The sequence below is a fragment of the Homo sapiens genome, chromosome 15, assembly GCF_000001405.40.
Source record: "Homo sapiens chromosome 15, GRCh38.p14 Primary Assembly".
Lineage (NCBI taxonomy): Eukaryota > Metazoa > Chordata > Mammalia > Primates > Hominidae > Homo > Homo sapiens.
In genome coordinates this window covers 74482559-74503088 of record NC_000015.10, presented here as the reverse complement: position 1 = coordinate 74503088, position 20530 = coordinate 74482559, and the positions used below count along the sequence as shown (strand labels likewise).

The 20530-nt window shown below is 45.8% G+C and overlaps 3 long non-coding RNA genes and 1 other non-coding gene across 4 annotated transcripts in view; 2 read left to right on the top strand and 2 right to left on the bottom strand.

Annotated features, from left to right (window-relative positions):
- Positions 1-281: 281 nt before the first annotated feature.
- LOC102723714 (uncharacterized) lies at positions 282-4255 on the bottom strand. The gene is made up of 2 exons (XR_007064712.1): positions 4222-4255; positions 282-929 (listed from the first exon to the last, which is right to left on the bottom strand). It is a non-coding gene; the product is annotated as an uncharacterized LOC102723714 (long non-coding RNA).
- Positions 4256-5624: 1369 nt separating this feature from the next.
- Positions 5625-6460, bottom strand: LOC124903526 (uncharacterized). The gene is made up of 2 exons (XR_007064713.1): positions 6034-6460; positions 5625-5910 (listed from the first exon to the last, which is right to left on the bottom strand). It is a non-coding gene; the product is annotated as an uncharacterized LOC124903526 (long non-coding RNA).
- Positions 6461-12060: 5600 nt separating this feature from the next.
- On the top strand, positions 12061-12130 carry LOC124900366 (small nucleolar RNA SNORD77). The gene has a single exon (XR_007064817.1). It is a non-coding gene; the product is annotated as a small nucleolar RNA SNORD77 (small nucleolar RNA).
- A 674-nt stretch (positions 12131-12804) lies between these two features.
- Positions 12805-20530, top strand: part of LOC101929333 (uncharacterized) — a 12138-nt gene continuing 4412 nt past the window's right edge. The window contains exon 1 of the long non-coding RNA NR_198993.1: positions 12805-12853. This is a non-coding gene — a long non-coding RNA (uncharacterized LOC101929333). The remainder of the gene's footprint in view (positions 12854-20530) is intronic.

The window sequence follows — 20530 nt, the reverse complement described above, 5'->3', positions numbered from 1 at the left end:
CAGTGAGCTGAGATTACACCACTGCACTCCAGCCTGGGCGACAGAACGAGACTCTCTCTCTCAAAAAAAAAAAAAAAAAAAAAAAAAGGAAAGAAAAGAAAAAAAAAGGAAGTAGAATGGTAGAATGGTAGTTAGTAAAGGCTTGGGAAAAGATAATGGGGATTTGTTTAATGGGTACAGAGTTTTAGTTTTGCAAGATGAAGAGTTTTGGAGATTGGTTGCACAACAATGTGAATGTATTTAACACGGCTGCACTGCACACTTAAAAATGGCTCACATGGTAAGTTTTATATTATGTGTATTTGACCACAGTTAAAAATTTAAAAAGCAGGTAAATGAGTCTATGGTGATAGAAGAAGGATAGTGGTTACCTTGGGAAGAGAGATTGACTGAGAAGAGGAATAAATGGGGGTTCTGTGATGCAGATCATTTCTACTTTTTGAGCTGGGTGAGTTCACCAAATTGTATACTTAGGATTTATGTCCCTTCATGTCTGTATGTCATTGTGAGACACATGGTGATGTGTTGCCCAGATCGCCTTCAAGAAAGGACATGCTGCCTAGCTGCAGAGAGAGGGCAGCAGACAATACCAGCTTTCAGTTCCTTCAGAGCCTGCTTCAGCTGCAGGGCTGCCTCACCTGAGGTCATGCCCTTCCTGGGGTAGCCCACATTTGGTGACTGAGCAAGGCAGAGGTATAAAGGTCCAGCCATTTAAACTTGATGCTGGAAAGCCCTGATGAGCACTTCTCATTCTAGAGTGACCTGCTGATCGGCTGAGCTTGGTCGAGCCTGCAGCACAGGTTGACTTTCCCTCTGCCCAGTCCTGCTTTTTCTTCCTTCCTTTCACAGGTATGGGTCCTTAATAAACATTTTGCCTCCCAAACTCTATCTCAGCATCTCCTTCTTGAGAATCTGGTCTTCCACAGTTGCTACCAAAGTAGATGAGAAAGGAGATGGTAAGATGGGGTTTGGAACTGGATCACCACCCATCTGATGATGAGGATCCCATTAGTGGAGGTGGGCAGAGCACAGACAAATGGCAGCAAATTGGGAGAATGTACCAGTAGAACTGGATACTCTAAGGGCACAATGTGCCAGGTACTTGAGATGTATGGAGGGAGTAGTAGCTATGAGGATGATGGAATTGGTGGCTATTGCCAAGCTCCATGGATGTGCTACAGGATAATAAACAACTTAGGGCCAGTAACATGCATTAAAATCCAGGTTATGGGGCCAGGTGCAATGGCTCATGCCTGTAATCCCAGCACTTTGGGAGGCCAAGGCAGGTGGATCACCTAAGGTTAGGAGTTTGAGACCAGCCTGGCCAACATGGCGAAACCCCATCTCTGCTAAAAATACAAAAATTAGTCAGGCGTGATGGCACATACCTGTAGTCCCAGCTACTTGGGAGGCTGAGGCAGGAGAATTGCTTGAATCCGGGAGGCAAAGGTTATAGTGAGCCAAGATCGTGCCACTGCACTTCAGCCTGGGCAACAGAGTAAGATCATCTCAAAAAAAAAAAAAAAAAAAAATCCAGGTTATGAAAAGGAAAAGGCCTCTTTGGTTTATACAAATAAGCCAACATCTCTAGCAGTGAAAGGGTGGAGAAAAGCAAGGACAAAGCCTAGGACTTAATAATCTAAGCAACTGGCCAGGCGTGGTGGCCCACACCTGTAATCCCAGCACTTTGGGAGGCTGAGGCGGGCAGATCACCAGGTCAGGAGTTCAAGACCAGCCTGGCTAAGATAGTGAAACCCCGTCTGTACTAAAAATACAAAAAATTAGCTGGGCATGGTGGCGTGCGCCTGTAATCCCAGCTACTAGGGAGGCTGAGGCAGGAGAATCGCTTGAACCTGGGAGGCAGAGGTTGCAGTGAATGGAGATCGTGCCACTGCACTCCGGCCTGGGGGACAGTGCAAGACTCCATCTAAAATAATAATAATAATAATAATCTGAGCAACTGACTTCAAAGACAGTTAAATGTCCAAATAAGGCACATCTCTTATGCTAAAGTCAAAGTCCTGGTTGGAAAAGCTTGGGACCCTGACACGTGGAATGGAGATATCAGAGTGGATGCTCCTAAAGATTTTTTTTTTGAGACGGAGTCTCGCTCTGTCTCCCAGGCTGGAGTGCAGTGGTGTGATGTTGACTCACTGCAGCCTCTGCCTCCAGGATTCAAGCGACTCTCCTGCCACAGCCTCCCAAGTAGCTGGGACTACAGTCATGCACCACCATGCCCAGCTAGTTTTTTTTGTATTTTTAGTGGAGACGGGGTTTCACCATGTTGGCCAGGTTGGTCTCGAACTCCTGACCATAAGTGATCCACTCGCCTTGGCCTCTCCTGAATATTTTGACTCCACAAATTCCTCTGAATCTCCTGAGCCTACAGAATTGGCCCACTCCTCCCTAGTAAGAACTACCACTCTCTCCCTGCTGAGGGACAATGCAGTGCCTTTCTCCACAAAGCAACAGCTCCCCCTCAGAATCTGCCCCCACATTGCCTCCTAGCCTATACTAGGTTAGCTACAGCATAACCCAGCTGGAGAGGTGCTGGGTATGATAGGGGTGGAAAGGGACTATATGCCACAGAAATAGCAAGACCTAGCCAGCATGTATTGGCAGGAGCCAGGGAGATACATGTGGAACTGGATTCTGAGAGTGCTTGATGAAGGAGAAGGAATATAAAATTGGATAGGGAAGAGTTTATTGACTTGGGAATCCCTCTTTGTTTCTTTTCGTTTCTTTTCTTTCTTTTTGAGATGGAGTCTCACCCTGTCAGGCTGGAGTGCAATGGCGCAATCTCAGTTCACTGCAACCTCTGCCTCCCGGGTTCAAACAACTTTCCTGCCTCAGCCTCTCGAGTAGCTGGGATTACAGGCACGTGCCACCATGCCCAGATAATTTTTGTATTTTTAGTAGAGACGGGATTTCACCATGTTGGCCAGGCTGGTCTCGAACTCCTGACCTTGTGATCCGCCTGCCTCGGCCTCCCAAAGTGCCGGGATTTCAGGTGTGAGCCACTGCGCCCGGCAGGAATCTCTCTTTCAAAATACAAGATTTAACATCCTGGCAAGGACAATAGGAGATGGTACAATCTTACTACCAGGATGGATCCTAGAAGCATGGAAAAAGTGATGACCTATGCCAAAGAAAGCTTACATGCCGGAATTGCTATGGCAGATAGTGATGGTAGAATGAAAAGACTCAGGGAAATAGGTGTGCCAGAATGGATAGACTATAGGTAACCAGAAGATCTCCTAGCTAATTATGCCTCATGAGAAGGCCCAGAGAACACGTTTTCATCTGTTTTCTGTTGCTCTCACTGCATAGCACAGACTGGGTAGTTTATAAGAAGTTTACTGAGTTCATGGTTCTGGAGGCTGGGAAGCCCAAGAGCCTGAAGTCAGGATCTGGTGAGATCCTTCTTGCTGTGTCATAACATAGCAGAGAACATCACATGGTGAGAGGGCAACCAGAAAGATTCTGGTTACTCTTGCTTGCTTTTATAACAAAGCCATTCCCATGATAGAGCTTGCTTTTATAACAAAAAAACAAAGCTTGTTTTTATTGCAAAGCCATTCCCGTGATAACGAACCTACTCCCATGATAATGACATTACTCCATTCAAGAGGGCAGAACTCTCATTACTCCATATATTCATTCATGAGGGCAGAACTGACATTAATCCATTTATGAGGGGAGAACAATTAAGTTTCTAACACACAGATTTTTAGGGGCCACATTCAAACCATAACAACACACTACTTATCAAGGCCGTGAAGAATTTGCTGCCCGGCATGGTGGCTCACACCTGTAATCCTAGCACTTTGGAAGTCCGAGGTGGGTGGATCACTTGAGGTCAGGAGTTTGAGACCAGCCTGGCCAACATGGTGAAACCCTGTCTCTCCAAAAAAATATAAAAATTAGGCCGGGCGTGGTGGCTCACGCCTATAATCCCAGCACTTTGGGAGGCCAAAGTGGGTGGATCACTTGAGGTCAGGAGTTCGAGACCAGCCTGGCCAACATGGTGAAACCCCGTCTCTACTAAAAAATAGAAAAATTGGCCGGGCGCAGTGTCTCACGTCTATAATCCCAGCACTTTGGGAGGCCGAGGCGGGCGGATCAAGAGGTCAGGAGATCGAGACCATCCTGGCTAACACGGTGAAACCCCGTCTCTACTAAAAAAAATACAAAAAATTAGCTGGGCGTGGTAGCGGGCACCTGTAGTCCCAGCTACTTGGGAGGCTGAGGCAGGAGAATGGCGTGAACCCAGGAGGTGGAGCTTGCAGTGAGCCAAGATTGTGCCACTGCACTCCAGCCTGGGAGACAGAGCGAGACTCCTTCTCAAAAAAAAAAAAAAAAAAAAAAGAAAAATACAAAAATTAGCCAGGCATGGTGGTGTATACCTGTAATTCCAGCTACTTGGAAGACTGAGGCAGAATCGCTTGAACCCAGGCAGCGGAGGTTGTAGTGAGCCGAGATTGTGCCACTGCACTCCAGCCTGGGTGACAGAGCGAGACTCTATCTCAAAAAAAAAAAAAAAAAAAAAGGGCTGGGTTTGGTGGCTCATGCCTGTAATCCCAGCACTTTGGGAGGCCAAGGCGGGTGAAACACCTGAGGTCAGGAGTTCGAGATTAGCCTGACCAACATGGTGAAACCCCATCTCTACTAAAAATACAAAAATTAGCTGGGTGTGGTGGTGCATGCCTGTAATCTCAGCTACTTGAGAGGTTGAGGCAGGAGAATCACTTGAACCCGGGAGGCGGAGGTTGCAGTGAGCCAAAATTTTGCCATTGCACTACAGCCTGGGCAACAGCGAGACTCTGTCTCAAAAAAAAAAAAAAAAAAAAATATATATATATATATATATATACACACACACACACACATATATATACACACACACACACACACACAAAATTAGCTGGGTGTGGTGGCAGGTGCCTGTAATCCCAGCTACTCGAGAGGCTGAGGTTCGAGAATTGTTTGAACCTGGGAGGCGGAGGTTGCAGTGAGCCAAGATCGTGCCACTGCACTCCAGCCTGAGTGACAGAGCAAGACTCTGACTCAAAAAAAAAAAGAAAGAATTTGCTGGTGAGAGGCTCACCAGAATAAAAAGTACTAAAAAGATAAGTACTCGCTCTCCTCTGTAGGCTAGGACTGATAATAGAAGAGACTAGTACAGAACTTGACTTACTGATAGCAATGAGGATAATGGGACACTGAAACAAACAAACAAACAAAAGTCCAGATGGCAGTGCTTAACTTCCGGAAGCTAGGCAATGGCAATTATCATCATGGCTGGTGAGGTTTGAGTGGCAGCCAGGAACACCTGGCCAACAGAGAGTTATGGAGATGACTAATAAAGCAAAATGTCCCTAGGGGCAAATTAGATGGGCAATTGTTAAGGGTACTACTCAGCTTGTACTAGCAGAAGAAATTAAGGAAAGATGACTAGAAGACTGAAGGCCATAGCCCAAGAAAAATTCACAATCCCTTTCCTAGTGTTCAGACTAGAGCCAGCTTGAGACTTGGAATCCCATGATTAAAGAGGTGGCTGGGTCCCTAGGAGGAAGGACCCTCAATACTATAACAAGAATATGTGATAATGATCCCCTCAGTTCTTTCTCAAAAAGACCAATGGCCATTTATTTGGGTAACTGTGCACCTGGGAAAGAAAAATACCTAGACATATCAGGGTCTGTTGGATGTAGGGTCTGTGATGACAATGATGCTCGAGGCCTGAAGCACCATCATAACCTCTCCTTGTTAGAGTGCAGGAAGCACATGGGGCCAGGTTGTAAGTGAAATCCTGTCTTGGGCCTGGCTTACAGTACAGCCATTGGGTCCTTGGAGCCACTCAGTGGTCATTTCCCAGTCTCTGAGTTCATAACCAGGATTGGTTTACTCCTGGGGGACAACAAAGAAAAGTGTTGAGAGTAGGTACAGCAGAAATTAGTTCCATCCTTAGGATATAAAGGATACAGGGATGGTGGTTTCTATCATGTATCTGTTTAATTCACCACTCTTGACCTTATAGAAACCAGATGATCCTGGAAGGTGACTGTAGACTGCCATGAGTTCAACCAAGTACTATAGCCCCGATTACAGCCATTATGTAAGATGTAGTATCTTTGCTACAGCAGATTACTTTGGCCTCGGGAACATATTATACAACCACTGATTTGGCAAATGTGTTCTTTTTTATCCTAATCAGAAAAAGAAAAAGAGTCAGAAAAAAGTTTGCATTTACATGGAATGGGCAACAATATACATGTGAGGTTTTCCTCCCAGGGCTATGCCTTCCACTCTATGTAAAATACAGTCTGAAGAGATTTGGACTATCTCAACCTTGTCCAACCCACGGCTTGCAGGCTGTACATGGCACAGGAGAGCTTTGAAACTTTCTTAAAACATTATAATTTTTTTTTTTTTTTGAGACAGAGTCTTGCTCTGTCACCCAGGCTGGAGTGCAGTAGTGTAATCTCAGCTTACTGCAACTTCCGCCTCCCAGCTTCAAGCGATTCTCCTGCCTCAGCCTCCCGAGTAGCTGGGATTACAGGCGCCCGTCACCATGCCCAGCTAATTTCTGTATTTTTAGTAGAGACGGGGTTTTGCAATGTTGGCCAGGCCAGTCTCAAACTCCTGACCTCAAGTGATCTGCTCACTTTGGCCTCCCAAAGTGCTGGGATTACAGGCGTGAGCCACTGCGTCTAGCCTTTTTTGTGATTTATTTTTTGGCTCATCAGCTATCGTTCGTGTTAGTGTATTTTATGTGTGGCCCAAGACAATTCTTCTTCCAATGTGGCCCAGGGAAGCCAAAAGATTGTACACCTCTGAACTATCTGGACATACTTTAGAGTTTCATGCTGATCCATTGCATTGATGACAATATGTTAATGAGCCAGATGAACAAGAGATGGATAATACACTGAAGGCCTTGGTAAATAAGACAGGCACTTCAGAGGGCACTCTGTGAAGATTCAGGGACCTTCTACATCTATAAATTTTTTTTTTTTTTGAGACAGAGTCTCACTCTGTTGCCCAGGCTGGAGTGTACTGGTGTGATCTCGGCTCAGTGCAAGCTCCCACTCCCGGGTTCACGCCATTCTCCTGCCTCAGCATCCCGAGTAGCTTGGACTACAGGCACCCGCCAGCACGCCCGGCTATTTTTTTGTATTTTTAGTAGAGACGGGGTTTCACTGTGTTAGCCAGGATGGTCTCGATCTCCTGACCTCGTGATCCGCCCGCCTCAGCCTCCCAAAGTGCTGGGATTACAGGTGTGAACCACCGCGCCCAGCAAAATTTTTATTTTTTTATTTTTTTGAGATGGAGTCTCGCTCTGTCACCCAGGCTGGAGTGCAGTGGCACGATCTTGCTCACTGCAACCTCTGCCTCCCAGCTCCTGCCTCAGCCTCCCGAGTAGCTGGCATTACAGGCACCCATCACCATGCCCAGCTAATTTTAATATTTTTAGTAGAGATGGGGGTTTTGCTGTGTTGGCCAGGCTGGTCTCAAACTCCTGACCTCAGGTGATCTGCTCACCTCGGCCTCCCAAAGTGATGAGATAATAGGCATGAGCCACTGCGCCAAGCCCCAACATCCCTAAAATTTTTAGGAGTACAGTTGTCAGGGGCATGTTGGGATATCCTCTTCAAAGTAAAAGACAAATTATTGCATTTTATGCCTTCTCCCACAAAAAAGGAAGCGCAACACCTGGTGGATCTCTTCAGATTCTAGAGTCAGCATATTCTACACCTAAGGATGCTGCTGTAGTCTATATACCAGGTGTCACGAAAGACTGGAAGCTTTGAGCAAGGCCTAAAGCGGGCCCAGAGCATGACAGAGCTTTGCAGTAGATACAGGCTACAGTGTAAACAGTCCTACTCCTAGGACAATACAATTCAGCATATCCTATGGTGCTGCAGATTATCAGAAGTGGGAGAAGATGCTATGTATAATTTGTGTCAAGCTTTGGAAGTGGCACTGGGGCTCTGGAGCAAGACCCTACCATCTGCAGTGAAGATTTAAACATGCTGTTGAAAAACAACTCCGGGCCAGGTGTGGTGGCTCATGCCTGTAATCCCAGCACTTTGGGAGGCCGAGGTGGGTGGATCACTTGAGGTCAGGAGTTCGAGACCAGCCTGGCCAACATGGTGAAACCCCGTCTATATTAAAAATATAAAAATTAGCAGGGTGTGGTGGTGTGCACCTGTGCTCCAAGCTACTCAGGAGACTGAGGCAGGAGAATCACTTGAACCCGGGAGGCGGAAGTTGCAGTGAGCCAAGATCGCGCCACTGCACTGTAGGCTGTGTGACAGAGCGAGACTCTGTCCCAAAAACAAAACACCACAGAAAAGCAACTCTGGTATGCTACTGGCCCTTAGAAGAAACAAAATGGTGGATCATGACCAAATGACTGCACAGCTGGAATTTCCCGTTATGGTTTGAGTCCTCTCAGAACAGCCAATTCATAAGGTCAGCAGTGCACAGCAACACTCCATCATAATAGTGAATGTGACATGGGCCAGGTGTGGTGGCTCATGACTGTAATCCCAGCACTTTGGGAGGCTGAGTGGGCGGATCACTTGAGGTCAGGAGTTTGAGACCAGACTGGCCAACATGGTGAAACCCTTCCTCTACTAAAAATACAAAAAGTACCTGGATGTGGTGGTGCATGCTTGTAATCCCAGCTACTTGGGATGCTGAGGCGGGAGGATCAGGTAAAGGTTGCAGTGAGCCAAGAGGGTACCACTGCACTCCAGCATGGAAAGACAGAGAGCGAGACTCTGTCTCAAAAACAAACAAACAAACAAACAAAAAACCAAAAACCAAACCAAAACAAAACAAAACCATTGATGCGGTATGTCTAGTATCAGTCACAAGTAGGACCAGAGGACCTGGGAAAGCTGCATGAGCAGGTAGCCCAGACTCCCATGGTCCCTACCACTGTAGAACCAATTACTCTCCCTCAATTCATGTCTTTGACTTTATGAGGAGTCTTATATGAAGGAGCTGAAGGAGGAGAAAAAAGCCTGTGCTTTTTTACAGCAGGTCAGCTTAGTATCCAGATGCAGGAAACAAGTGGGCAATGGACAGCATTACTCTGAGACAGTCTTGAAAGACAATGATGAAGGGGAATTCTCCCAGGAGCAGAACTTTGGGAGATCCACTTTGGTGATCCACTTTGTGTTGAAAGAAAAGTGACCTTAAACTAGAATATATATATATAGACTAATGGGCAGTAACAAATGTTCTGCTTAATTTTATTTTACTTTATTTATTTATTATTTTGAGACACAGTCTCATTCTTGTCGCCCAGGCTGGAGTGCAATGGTGCAATCTCAGCTCACTGCAACCTCTGCCTCCCGGGTTCAAGCGATTCTCCTGCCTCAGCCTCCAGAGTAGCTGGGATTACAGGCGCGCGCCACCATGCCCTGCTAATTTTTGTATTTTTAGTAGAGATGGGGTTTCACCATGTTGGCCAGGCTGCTCTCGAACTCCTGACCTCAGGCGATCTGCCCACCTCAGCCTCCCGAAGTGTTGGGATTACAGGGATGAGCCACCACGCTCAGCACCCAGTGCTCCTTTCTTTCTAGAAATACATCAAATCATTCTTTCTGGGAGTTGACAATTATTTTGTATTGAAGTATGTATACAGGTACATGTAACTAGAAGTTGTTGCCCATGCTGGAGTGCAGTGGCTCGATCTCGGCTCACTGCAACCTCCACCTCCCAGGCTCAAGTGATCCTCTCACCTAAGCCTCCTGAGTAGCTGCAACTACAGGCATGTACCACCACACCCAGCTAATTTTTGTATTTTTTGTAGAGATGGGGTTTCGCATGCAGGCTGGTCTCAAACTCCTGGGCTCAGTGATCTGCCTGCTTTGGCCTCACAAAATGCTGGGATTACAGGTGTGAACCACCCTGCCTAGCCTAGAAGTTCTAATCGTGCATGTGCAGCTTTGTTTTATGTTTATTTCCTCATTGGGTTAGTAGTTAAAACAATAATTTTTCCTTTTCTTTTTATTTTGAAATAATGTTAAACTTACAGAAAAATTGCAAGACAAGGGCAAAAAAATTTTTTTTTGCCTTGAGCCATTTAAGAGTATGTTGCCAACAACATGCCCTGTTGCCCACGAGAATACTTTACTGTGTGTATTTCTCACAAACAGCAACATTTCCTTACCTAAGTATAATACAACCATCCAAACTAGGACACTGACAATGATGTTTTACTACAGTCGCATCAATGTACTCCATTCAAGTTTCACCAATTGTCCCAATAATGTCCTTGCAAAAGAATACAACCCAAGATCAAAACACTGCTTTTGGTTTTCATCCCTCTTTAGTCTTCTTTAGTCTGGAACAGTCCCTCAGTCTTTCCTTTACTTTCATGACCACTTTTGAAGATAACAGGCCAGTTATTTTATAGAATGTCCCTTGATCTGCGTTTGTCTGATGTATCCTCTTGTCTAGATTCAACATGGTGAAGATATTTAGATCAAATGAAAACCATGGGCTGGGTGCGGTGGCTCACGCCTGTAATCCCAGCACTTTGGGAGGCCAAGGTGGGCAGATCACTTGAGGTCAGGAGTTCGAGACCAGCCTGGCCAACATGGTGAAATCCTGTCTCTACTAAAAATACAGAAGTTAGCCGGGTGTGGTGGCACGTGCCTGTATTCCCAGCTATTCAGGAGGCTGAGGTAGGAGAATTGCTTGATTCCAGGAGGCGGAGATTGCAGTGAGCTGAGATTGCACCGCTATACTCCAGCCTGGGTGACAGCCAGACTCTGTCTCCAAAAAAAAAAAAAAAAAAAAAAAAAGAAAGAAAAGAAAAAAAGAAAACCATGAATCCACCCCCAATACCTTCAATTCCAGTCTAATGCCACAGGGTTTATTCTAGTTTCCTCATTACTATATTTATTCTTTCATTTTAAATAGAAGCTTCACTCCCATTATTCTCAAAATATTTACTTATTTGATCAATCTCTTGTCCTGCCCCTCCATGAACCATTTCCTTACCTGGCTTGGACTCTGATATTCTCAGCTGGGCAGCTAGAGTCACCACCCCTACTTTCCTATGGAAACTCTCCTCATGCTTGGGCTCCAGCACCCCATTCTTACCACCACCAGTCCCCCTCTCCACACCACGGACTCCCTCTTCATTCAATCTGGGCTTTCATACTCTCAGCCCAGTTGTGAAATGGGACTTTTTACAACCAAAAGATTAAGAATGTACACTATAAATTGTGACTTTGATGAAATCAGTAATATTTCTTCATATAGGCCTGAGGACCAAATTAACTATATTCTGAACTTAGTTGGGGTTCTAAAAGGACCTGCTGGCCATGCATGGTGGGTCACACCTGTAGTCCCAGCACTTTGGAAGATTGAGGTGGGTGGATCACTTGAGCCCAGGAGTTCGAGACCAGCCTGGGACAACATAGCAAAACCCTGTCTCTATAGAAAATACAAAAAATTAGCCAGGCGTGGTGGCACATACCTGTCCCAACTACTTGGAAGCCTGAGGTAGGAAGATCGCTTGAGCCAGGGAGGTTGAGGCTGCAGTGAAGCGTGATTGTGCCACTGTACTCCAGGCCAGGTGACAGAGTAAGACCCTGCCTCAAAAATATAAATATAAATATAAATAAATGAATAAATAAAAGTACCTGCTATGTTTTAGTATTTAATCTACTTGGAACTTGTTTTTGTATGATATAAAATGGAGGTCCAATTATTTTCCTGACAGATATCATCATTTATTATATAATCCATCCATATCCCACTGAATTAAAATTGCACTGTTCACATTTTATGTTCTTAAAAACAGATATCTATTCCTGGATTCTCTTTTCTATTCCACTGGTTTATTTGTCTATGCCCAGGCCAATATTATATTGATGCTATTGTGGTATCTTTATAGTGTCTTCTGAGATCTAGTAAGCCAAGTGCACCCTTACTGTACTTCTTTCTACATTTATTGGCTATTTACAAGTACTTTATTCTTTCCAAATAAATCATCAGATAATTTAATCCAATTAAAAAGAAACCTGTTGGATACTGTGACAGTTGCATCGTTCAGCAGATTGAGTCACGAAGAGATGTATACCATCTGTCTGATGTATCTGGGGTGGTTGGGAAAAAAAAAACTGTTGGGATTATACTGGAATTTTTTTCTTTTTTTTTCTTTGCCCCAGCTGCTGGGATATAATAGGAATTTTATGAATTTTATATATATTTGTAGAGTTGTCCTTTTTGTGATAGTGTCTTAATATTCAAGAAAGAAACAATGAAGGTCATACAATGCCTGCTCATTATTCAGATCTTGATTCATTTATTTCCCCAACATATATATTTGAGCACCTACTATAGGCTAGACACTGTTCTAGATCCTGGGGATTCAACTGGGAACAAAACAAAGTTTCTGCTTTTTCAAAAAAGCAGAAAGTTTAGTAGTAGGAGATAGGTAATAAATATAAATACACACACACATATATATATGTAAATACATATGTAATACGTCAGATGGTATTAAATACTATGGCAAAAAATGAATCCAGCTAAAGGGGATATAGTGTGCTGGGAGGAGGGCTGTTTTTTAATTTAGTGCAAAAGATGATGTGGTGATATTTGACACATATATGAAGGACATGAAGGAGTCATCTGTGCATTCCAGGTGGGGGAGACAGCAAATGCAGAGGTGGGAGTGTGCTTGGTGGGTTATGCTGGCAGAGGAAGAGCAGGCAGCCCGGTGTGGCTACAGCAGGGTGAGCAGCCGGAAGAGGGGCAGGAAGTGGAGACAGAAAGGTTGCTGGGAGGCGCCATACCGAGTACAGCCATGGAGACCACTGTGAGTACTGTGGCTAAATAACTCAGGGAGAAGGGAAATTACCCTGAATTTTGAGCAGAGGAGTGACATGATCTGATGATCTTAACAAATCATTCTGGTGGACAGGAGTGGAAGCAGGGAGACCAGTTAGGACTCTGGCTTTGTCTTGCCTGAGATGGGGGTGGCTGGGAGGAGGGTGGGGGTGTGGGGGGTGAGAGATGGGGGATTCTGATTTGGCTGGCTTGCGTGCCATTGCAGGCCACCAGAGGGCACTACACATACGTCCTTGGTGAGGCTAAGCTGTGACAGCCAGTCCTTCCCTCACCCTCCCCAAATGACAGGTTGTGATACCTCCTTATGCAATAACCACCCTACCTGCTTTGCTACTAGAATTTAGATTCTGGTCCAGACTATGACATGCCCATACTCAAAAGATGAACCGTGGTAGTACAAGCACCATCTGAGTCTCCACGATTGCAGTCATCTAATGTCACAGTCTTCCTTTGTTTCCAGGACCCTCCTATCTCTCCATCAACCTCCCCTGTACACTTACCTGCATCAACCAGTGCATGAATGTAGCTGGGAAAACAGGTTTGCTGAATGTGACTGGGAGTTCCTTTCTTTGCCATTATTTCTTATGGGAACACTGCCTTTTAAAACCTATAGTGCTGAATGAAAAGGGTGTTTTTAGACCAGGCGCAGTGGCTCATGCCTGCAATCCCAGCACTTTGGGAGGCTGAGGCTGGTGGATCATTTGAGCCCAGGAATTCGAGACAAGTCTAAGAAACATAGCAAGAGGCTGTCTCTACAAAAATTAGCCAGGCGTGGTGGTGTGCATCTGTAGTCCTAGCTACTCAGGAAGCTGAAATGGGAGGATCACTTGAGCCCAGGAGGTTGGGGTTGCAGTGAGCCAAGATTGTACCACTGCACTCCGGCCTAAGTAACAGAGCGAGACCCTGTCTCTACAAAAGTACAAAAATTATCCAGGCATGATGGCAGGTGCCTGTAATCCCAAATACTCTGGAGGCTGAGGTGGGAGAATTGCTTGAACCTGGGAGGTGGAGGTTGCAGTGAGCCAAGATCACACCCTTGCACTCCAGCCTGGGCGACAGGGTGAGACTCTATCTCAAAAAAAAAGAAAAAAAAGATACCCACATGTGGTTAGTGTGTGCTGTATTGGACAGGGCAGGTTTACAGTGTGTGGAAGAATGTCTTATCATCTCCCTAATATTCATGCTTCTCTTTCTTTCATCATAGAACTCCTCCTCCAAGTTTAGCAATGCACATGAATATCCAGCTTGAGACACCATTTACCAACCTCTCTCAGTTAGGAGTGGCCATATGTGTTTGTTTTCTATTGCAGTGTGACAAATGACCACAGACTTAGCAGCTTAAAACAACACCCACTTATTATCTCAGAGTTCTGTAGGTCAGAAGTCTGGGCTTGGCTGGGTTCTCTGCTCAGGGTCCCAAAAGGCTGATACCAAGGTGTCCATGGGCTGGGCTCTGGAAAAGAATCTACTTCTAGACTCATTCAGGTTGGCAGAATCCAGTTCCTTGTGGCTGTAGATCTGAGATCCTGATTCCTACCTGGCTGTGAGCAGCGGGGGCTGCTCTGTGTTCCCAGAGGCTGCCGGGATACTTCCTGTGGTCCCTACACCTTTTCTTTTCTTTCTTTTTTTTTTCTTTTTTTGAGACAGAGTCTTGCTCTGCCACCCAGGCTGGAGTGCAGTGATGCTATCTTGGCTCACTGCAACCTCTGCCTCCTGGGTTCAAGAGATTCTCCTGTCTCAGCCTCCCAAGTAGCTGGGATTACAGGTGTGCACCACCACGCCTGGCTAATTTTTGTATTTTTAGTAGAGATGGGGTTTCACCATGTTGGCCAGGATGGTCTCGAACTCCTGACCTCAAGTGATCTGCCCTCCTTGACCTTCCAAAGTGTTGAGATTACAGGTGTGAGCCACTGCACCTGGCCAGTCCCCTACATCTTCAAGGCAGCCTTGGTGCAGTGCCTTTCTTATGCTTGGAATCTCTCTCTGATGGTTAATTTTAGGTGTCAACTTAACTGGATTAAGGAAAACGTAGAAACCTACTAAAGCATTCTTTTGAGTGTCTCTGTGAAGGTGTTTCCAGAGGAGATTAGTGTGTGAGTCTCAGTGGACTAGGTGGGAAAGATCTGCCTGCAATGTGGGTGGGCACCATTCAATCTGCTGGGGGCTTGGAGAGAAGAAAAACCAGGGCAAAAATGAATGTGCTGATCTACCTGCTGGAGCTGGGATACACTCTTCCTCTCCCGTCCTTGGACAATAACTCCAGACTTCTCGGCCTTTGGATTCCAGGACTTACATCAGTGGCTCCCCTCCCTGAGTTCTCAGGCCTCTGGGCTCGGCCTGAGAGTTACACCCTTGGCCTCCCTGGTTCTGAGGCCTTCAGACTTGGATTGAGCCATGCTACCAGCATCCCAGGGTCTCCAGCTTGCATATGGCTCATTGTGGGACTTTTTGCCTACCATAATCACATGAGCCAATTCCTCTAATAAATCCCCTCTCAGCCAGGTGCACTGGCTCACATTTTTTTGTTTCCCAGTGCATGTAAAAGTTATGTTTACACTATACTGTAATCTATTACATGTGCAATAGCATTCATTATGCCTAAAAAAAACATAGTACACACCTTAATTAAAAAATACTTTCTGGCTGGGTGTGGTGGCTCATGCCTGTAATCTCAGCACTTTGGGAGGTGGACACAGGAGAATCAGTTGAGCTCAGGAGTTCAAGAACAGCCTGGGCATCCTAGTGAGACTCCATCTCTTTTTTAAAAAATACCCCCTTTATCTATCTATCTATCTATCTATCTATCTATCTATCTAATCTATCTATCTATTCATCCATCCTTTCTATTGGTTCTGCCTCTCTGGAGAACCCTGATTAATACACTCTCTGTCTTCCCCTTCTGCCCAGCAGCCAGAAAAACTGATTTTCAAGGGCTTGTGATTAGATTACACCCACCTGGATAATCCTTTTGCTTTATAACAGAACATAATCTCAGGAGTGAGATCATGTTGATTTCTACCTATCCTCAAAAAGGAAGAAAGGGATTATGCCAAGGCAAGGATCATAGGAAGAATTCTTAGAATTCTGCCTCCTATGCCATGTGATTAAATTCTAGTCAACAAGAAGTTAATGGCAACTCTGTTCTTCCAGTTGCTCAAAATACTGGGTGTCCTCCTTGGCCTCTCACTTCTCACACCCCATTGGTCAGTCAGAAAATTCTGTCAGCTCTGCCTGCAAAACACACTCAGCATTCAAGCACTTCCCATGCCTTCCTACTTCCCAATGCTGGGCAGGTCACCATCATCTCTCACATGGATTAGTGTAACTTCCTAGCTGGCTTTCTCTCCAGCATTGTTCTTTTTTTTTTTTTTTTCTGAGATGGAGTCTCACTCTTGTTGCCCAGGCTGGAGTGCAATGGCACGATCTTGGCTCACTGCAACCTCCGCCTCTCAGGTTCAAGCGATCCTCCTGCCTCAGCCTCCCAAGTAGCTGGGATTACAGGCATGCACCACCCATGCCCGGCTAATTTTTGTATTTTTACTAGAGATGGGGTTTCTCCATGTTGGTCAGGCTAGTCTCGAACTCCCGACCTCAGGTGATCCGCCCACCTCGGCCTCCCAAAGTGCTGGGATTACAGGCGTGAACCACTGTGCCCGGTCATTTTGTTCTTGACACAGCAACCAGAATGATCCTGATACAGCATATGCCAAACCATGTCCCTTAGCACTCTTCAGTGGGTCTCTATCTCATAATAAAGACCAAAATCCTTAATATGGACCACACGATTCTACTTTGGTCTCCATATTAGGTTTGTGACCTCAAAATCCTATCACTCTTCTGGCTGGGTGTGGTGGTTCACGCCTATAATCCCAGCATTTTGGGAGGCCAAGGTGGGCAGATCACTTGAGGTCAGGAGTTTGAGATCAGCCTGTCCAACATGGCAAAACCCTGCCTCTAATAAAAATACAAAAATTAGCTGGCATGGTGGCACACACCTGTAATTCCAGGAATTTGGGAGGCTGAGGCGGGCGGATCACTTGAGGTCAGGAATTCGAGACCAGCCTGGCCAACATGGCAAAATCCCATCTCTACCAAAAATACAAAAACTAGCTGGGCATGGTGGTATGTGCCCGTAGTCCCAGCTACTCAAGAGGCTGAGGCACAAGAACCACTTGAACCCGTGAGGCGGAGGTTGCAGTGAGCTGAGATCTCGCTACTGCACTCCAGCCTGGCGACAGAGCGAGACTCTGGCTCAAAAAAAAAAAAAAAAAAAAATCTTATCACTCTTCTCCTCCTTCTCTTCACTGTAGCCTCATAGGGCTCCTTGCTGTTCCTTAAACATGTCAAAAAGTGCTTTAAGTCTTTGGTACTTGCTATTCTCTTTGCCTAGAATGTTCTTCTCCAAGATATCTACATGGCTAGCTCTCATTTCCTTCATGTCTTAATTCAAAAGTTGCCTTTCAGCCAGGCAAGGTGGAGCATACCTGTAATCCCAGTGCTTGGGAGGCTGAGGTGGGAGGATTGCTTGAGGCCACGAGTTCGAGACCAGCCTAGGGAACATAGTGAGACCTTTTTTGGTTCTACAGAAAATAAAATAAATAGCCAGCTTGGTGGCACATTCCTGTAGTCTCAGCTACTTGGGAGGCTGAGACAGAGGATACCTTGAGCTCAGGAGTTTGAGGTTGCAGTGAGCTATGATCATGCCACTACACTCCAGCCTAGATGACAGAGTAAGACCCTGTTTCTAAAAAAAATAAAAATAAAAAATAAGCCTGGTGCGGTGGCTCACACCTATAATCCCAGCACTTTGGGAGGCCAAGGTAGGCGGATCACTTGAGGGCAGGAGTTTGAGACCAGCCTGGCCAACAGGGTGAAACCCCGTCTCTACCAAAAAAACCTAGCTGGGCGTGGTGGCATGTGCCTGTAGATCCAGCTACTCAGGAGGCTGAGGCATGAGAATCCCTTAAACCTGGGAAGCAGAGGTTGGAGTGAGCCAAGATCGCGTCACTACACTCCATCCTGGGTAACAGAGCGAGACTCCATCTCAAAATAAACAAACAAACAAACAAACAAAATTCAGCTGGGCGCAGTGGCTCATGCCTGTAATCCCAGCACTTTGAGAAGCCGATGCGGGTGGATCACCTGAGGTCAGGAGTTTGAGGCTGGCCTGGCCAACATGGTGAAACCCATCTCTACTAAAAATACAAAATTAGCTGGGTGTGGTGGCGGGCACCTGTAATCCCAGCTTCTCCGGGGGGCTGAGGCAGGAAAGTCAACTGAACCCAGGAGGCGGAGGTTGCAGTGAGCTGAGACTGTGCCATTGCACTCTAACCTGGGCAACAGTAAGACTCGGTCTCGAAGAAAAGAAAACATTCAGGCCAGGCACAGTGGTTCATGCCAGTAATCCCAGTGAGGCTGAGGTGGGCAAATCATTTGAGCCCAAGGAGTTTGAGGCCAGCCTGGGCAACTGGGCAACATGGGGAAATCTTCATCTCTAAAAAATAGAAAAATTAGCCCAGTGTGGGGCATGTGCCTGTAATTCCAGCTAATTGGGAAGCTGAGGTGGGGAAGTTGAGGCTGTGTGAGCTGTGATAGCACCACTACATTCCAGTCTGGGTGACAGAGTGAGACCCCGTCTCCAAAACACAACAAAAATTTACTTTTCTAGTGAGGCTTCTCGTGGCCACATCACTTCATATTCTCCTACCCTGCTTTAGTGTTTTGCACCTTAGTACTTTTCACTGTGCAACCTACTAAAAAAAATTTTTTTTTTTTGAGACAAAGCCTTGCTCTGTCACCCAGGCTAGAGTGCAATGGCGTGATCTTGGCTCACTGCAACCTCCGCCTCCCAGGTTCAAGTGATCCTCCTGCCACAGCCTCCTGGATAGCTGGGATTACAGGCATGTACCAACACGCCCAGCTAATTTTTGTATTTTTAGTAGAGACAGGGTTTCACCATGTTGACCAGGCTGGTCTTGAACTTCTTACCTCAAATGATCCACCCGCCTTGCCCTCCCAAAGTGTTGGATTACAAATGTGAGCCACCACTGCTGGCCCACACTACAGATTTTAATTTTGCATCTTGTTTATCTCTCCCACCAAAATGTAATCCATTAGCACAGAGATTCTCTCCCATTCCCTCCCTTTCCTCTTCTTTTCTTCATTACTGTATCAACTTGGCATGTGGTAGGCACTCACAAATGTTTGTTGAATTAATAATACGGTGAGAGGGAGATGATGAGAGTCAAAGCATTCTTTTTGGCCAGGTGCAGTGGCTCACGCCTGTAATCCCAGCACTTTTAGAGGCTGAGGTGGGTGGATCACCTGAGGTCAGGAGTTGGAGACCAGCCTGGCCAACATGGTGAAACCCTGTCTCTAAAAAAAAAAAAAAAAAAAATTAGCCAGGCATGGTGGCACATGCCTGTAGTCCCAGCTACTTGGGAGGCTGAAGCAGGAGAATCGCTTGAACCCGGGAGGCAGAGGTTGTAGTGAGCCGAGATCATGCCACTGCACTCCAGCCTGGGCGACAGAGCAAGACTCCATCTCAAAAAAAAAAAGCAATTTTTTTTTTTTTTTTAGTAAGAGACAGGATTCCAGGCTGAGGTGTAGTGACACTATCATAGCTCACTGCAGCCTTGAATTCCTGGGCTCAAGCCATCCTCTCACCTCAGCCTCCCGAGTAGCTGACATTACAGATGCGTGCCACCACACCCAGCTAAATATTTTTATTTTTTGTAGAGACAAGGTCTTGCTATGTTGCCCAGGCTGGTCTCAAGGGGTCCTCCTGGCCTCAAGAGGTCCTCCTGTCTCAGCCTCCCAATGAGCTGGGATTACAGGCATGGGCCACCATGCCTGGCTGGGAATTGGAGCATTCTAAGATCTTCATACTGTTTGGGAGGGAGGTGGTGATACTGATTAACTTTAGAGTTTGCTAAGCTAAATGTGGATGCTGTGCTTTTAAGGGATACCACTGAGAGAACCGAAATGGAACTATGACTTCAATGTGGATGGGAAGGGAAGGGCAAAAAAGAAAATTTGATTAAGCCAATGGGAGGCAGGAATGAAGAAAAAGCAGCAAAGATACAATAAAAAGAAAGCACAAAGCTTCCTGATTCTCGTGGAATAATGGCAGATGCCTAAAATCCCTTCACAGTCCTTCACAAACCATACAGATTGACAATGAAAGCAACTTAAATAAATCACCCCATCCCTCACAGCATCACTAGGAGACAGGGCATACCTCAAACTTCAATTTACATATAAATGGGGAGATAAATATCTGAAACCAGCAGAGCTAGGTCTAGAGCTCACTTCTGAACGGGAAGTCAGGAGGGTTGTGTGGAAGACAGCAGAGTGCAGCCAGGTCCTGGAGGTGGCAGCACACAGATAGCATTGGCTAGAATTAGCCCCAGAAGGAGAGGACCGTATCCTGAGAATTGGTGGATCAGAGAACTGTCTACTGAGTAATTGAAAGAAACATTCGTGAACTAGCAATAGCAGAAACAACATTCTCTGATCACAAAATGCAATACAATGACAAATTAACAAAATTAAAAGTAAAAAGACTTTTCGAACTAGAATTTTTTTTTTTTTTTCCGAGATGGAGTCTCGTTCTGTCTCTCAGGCTGGATGGAGTGCAGTGGCG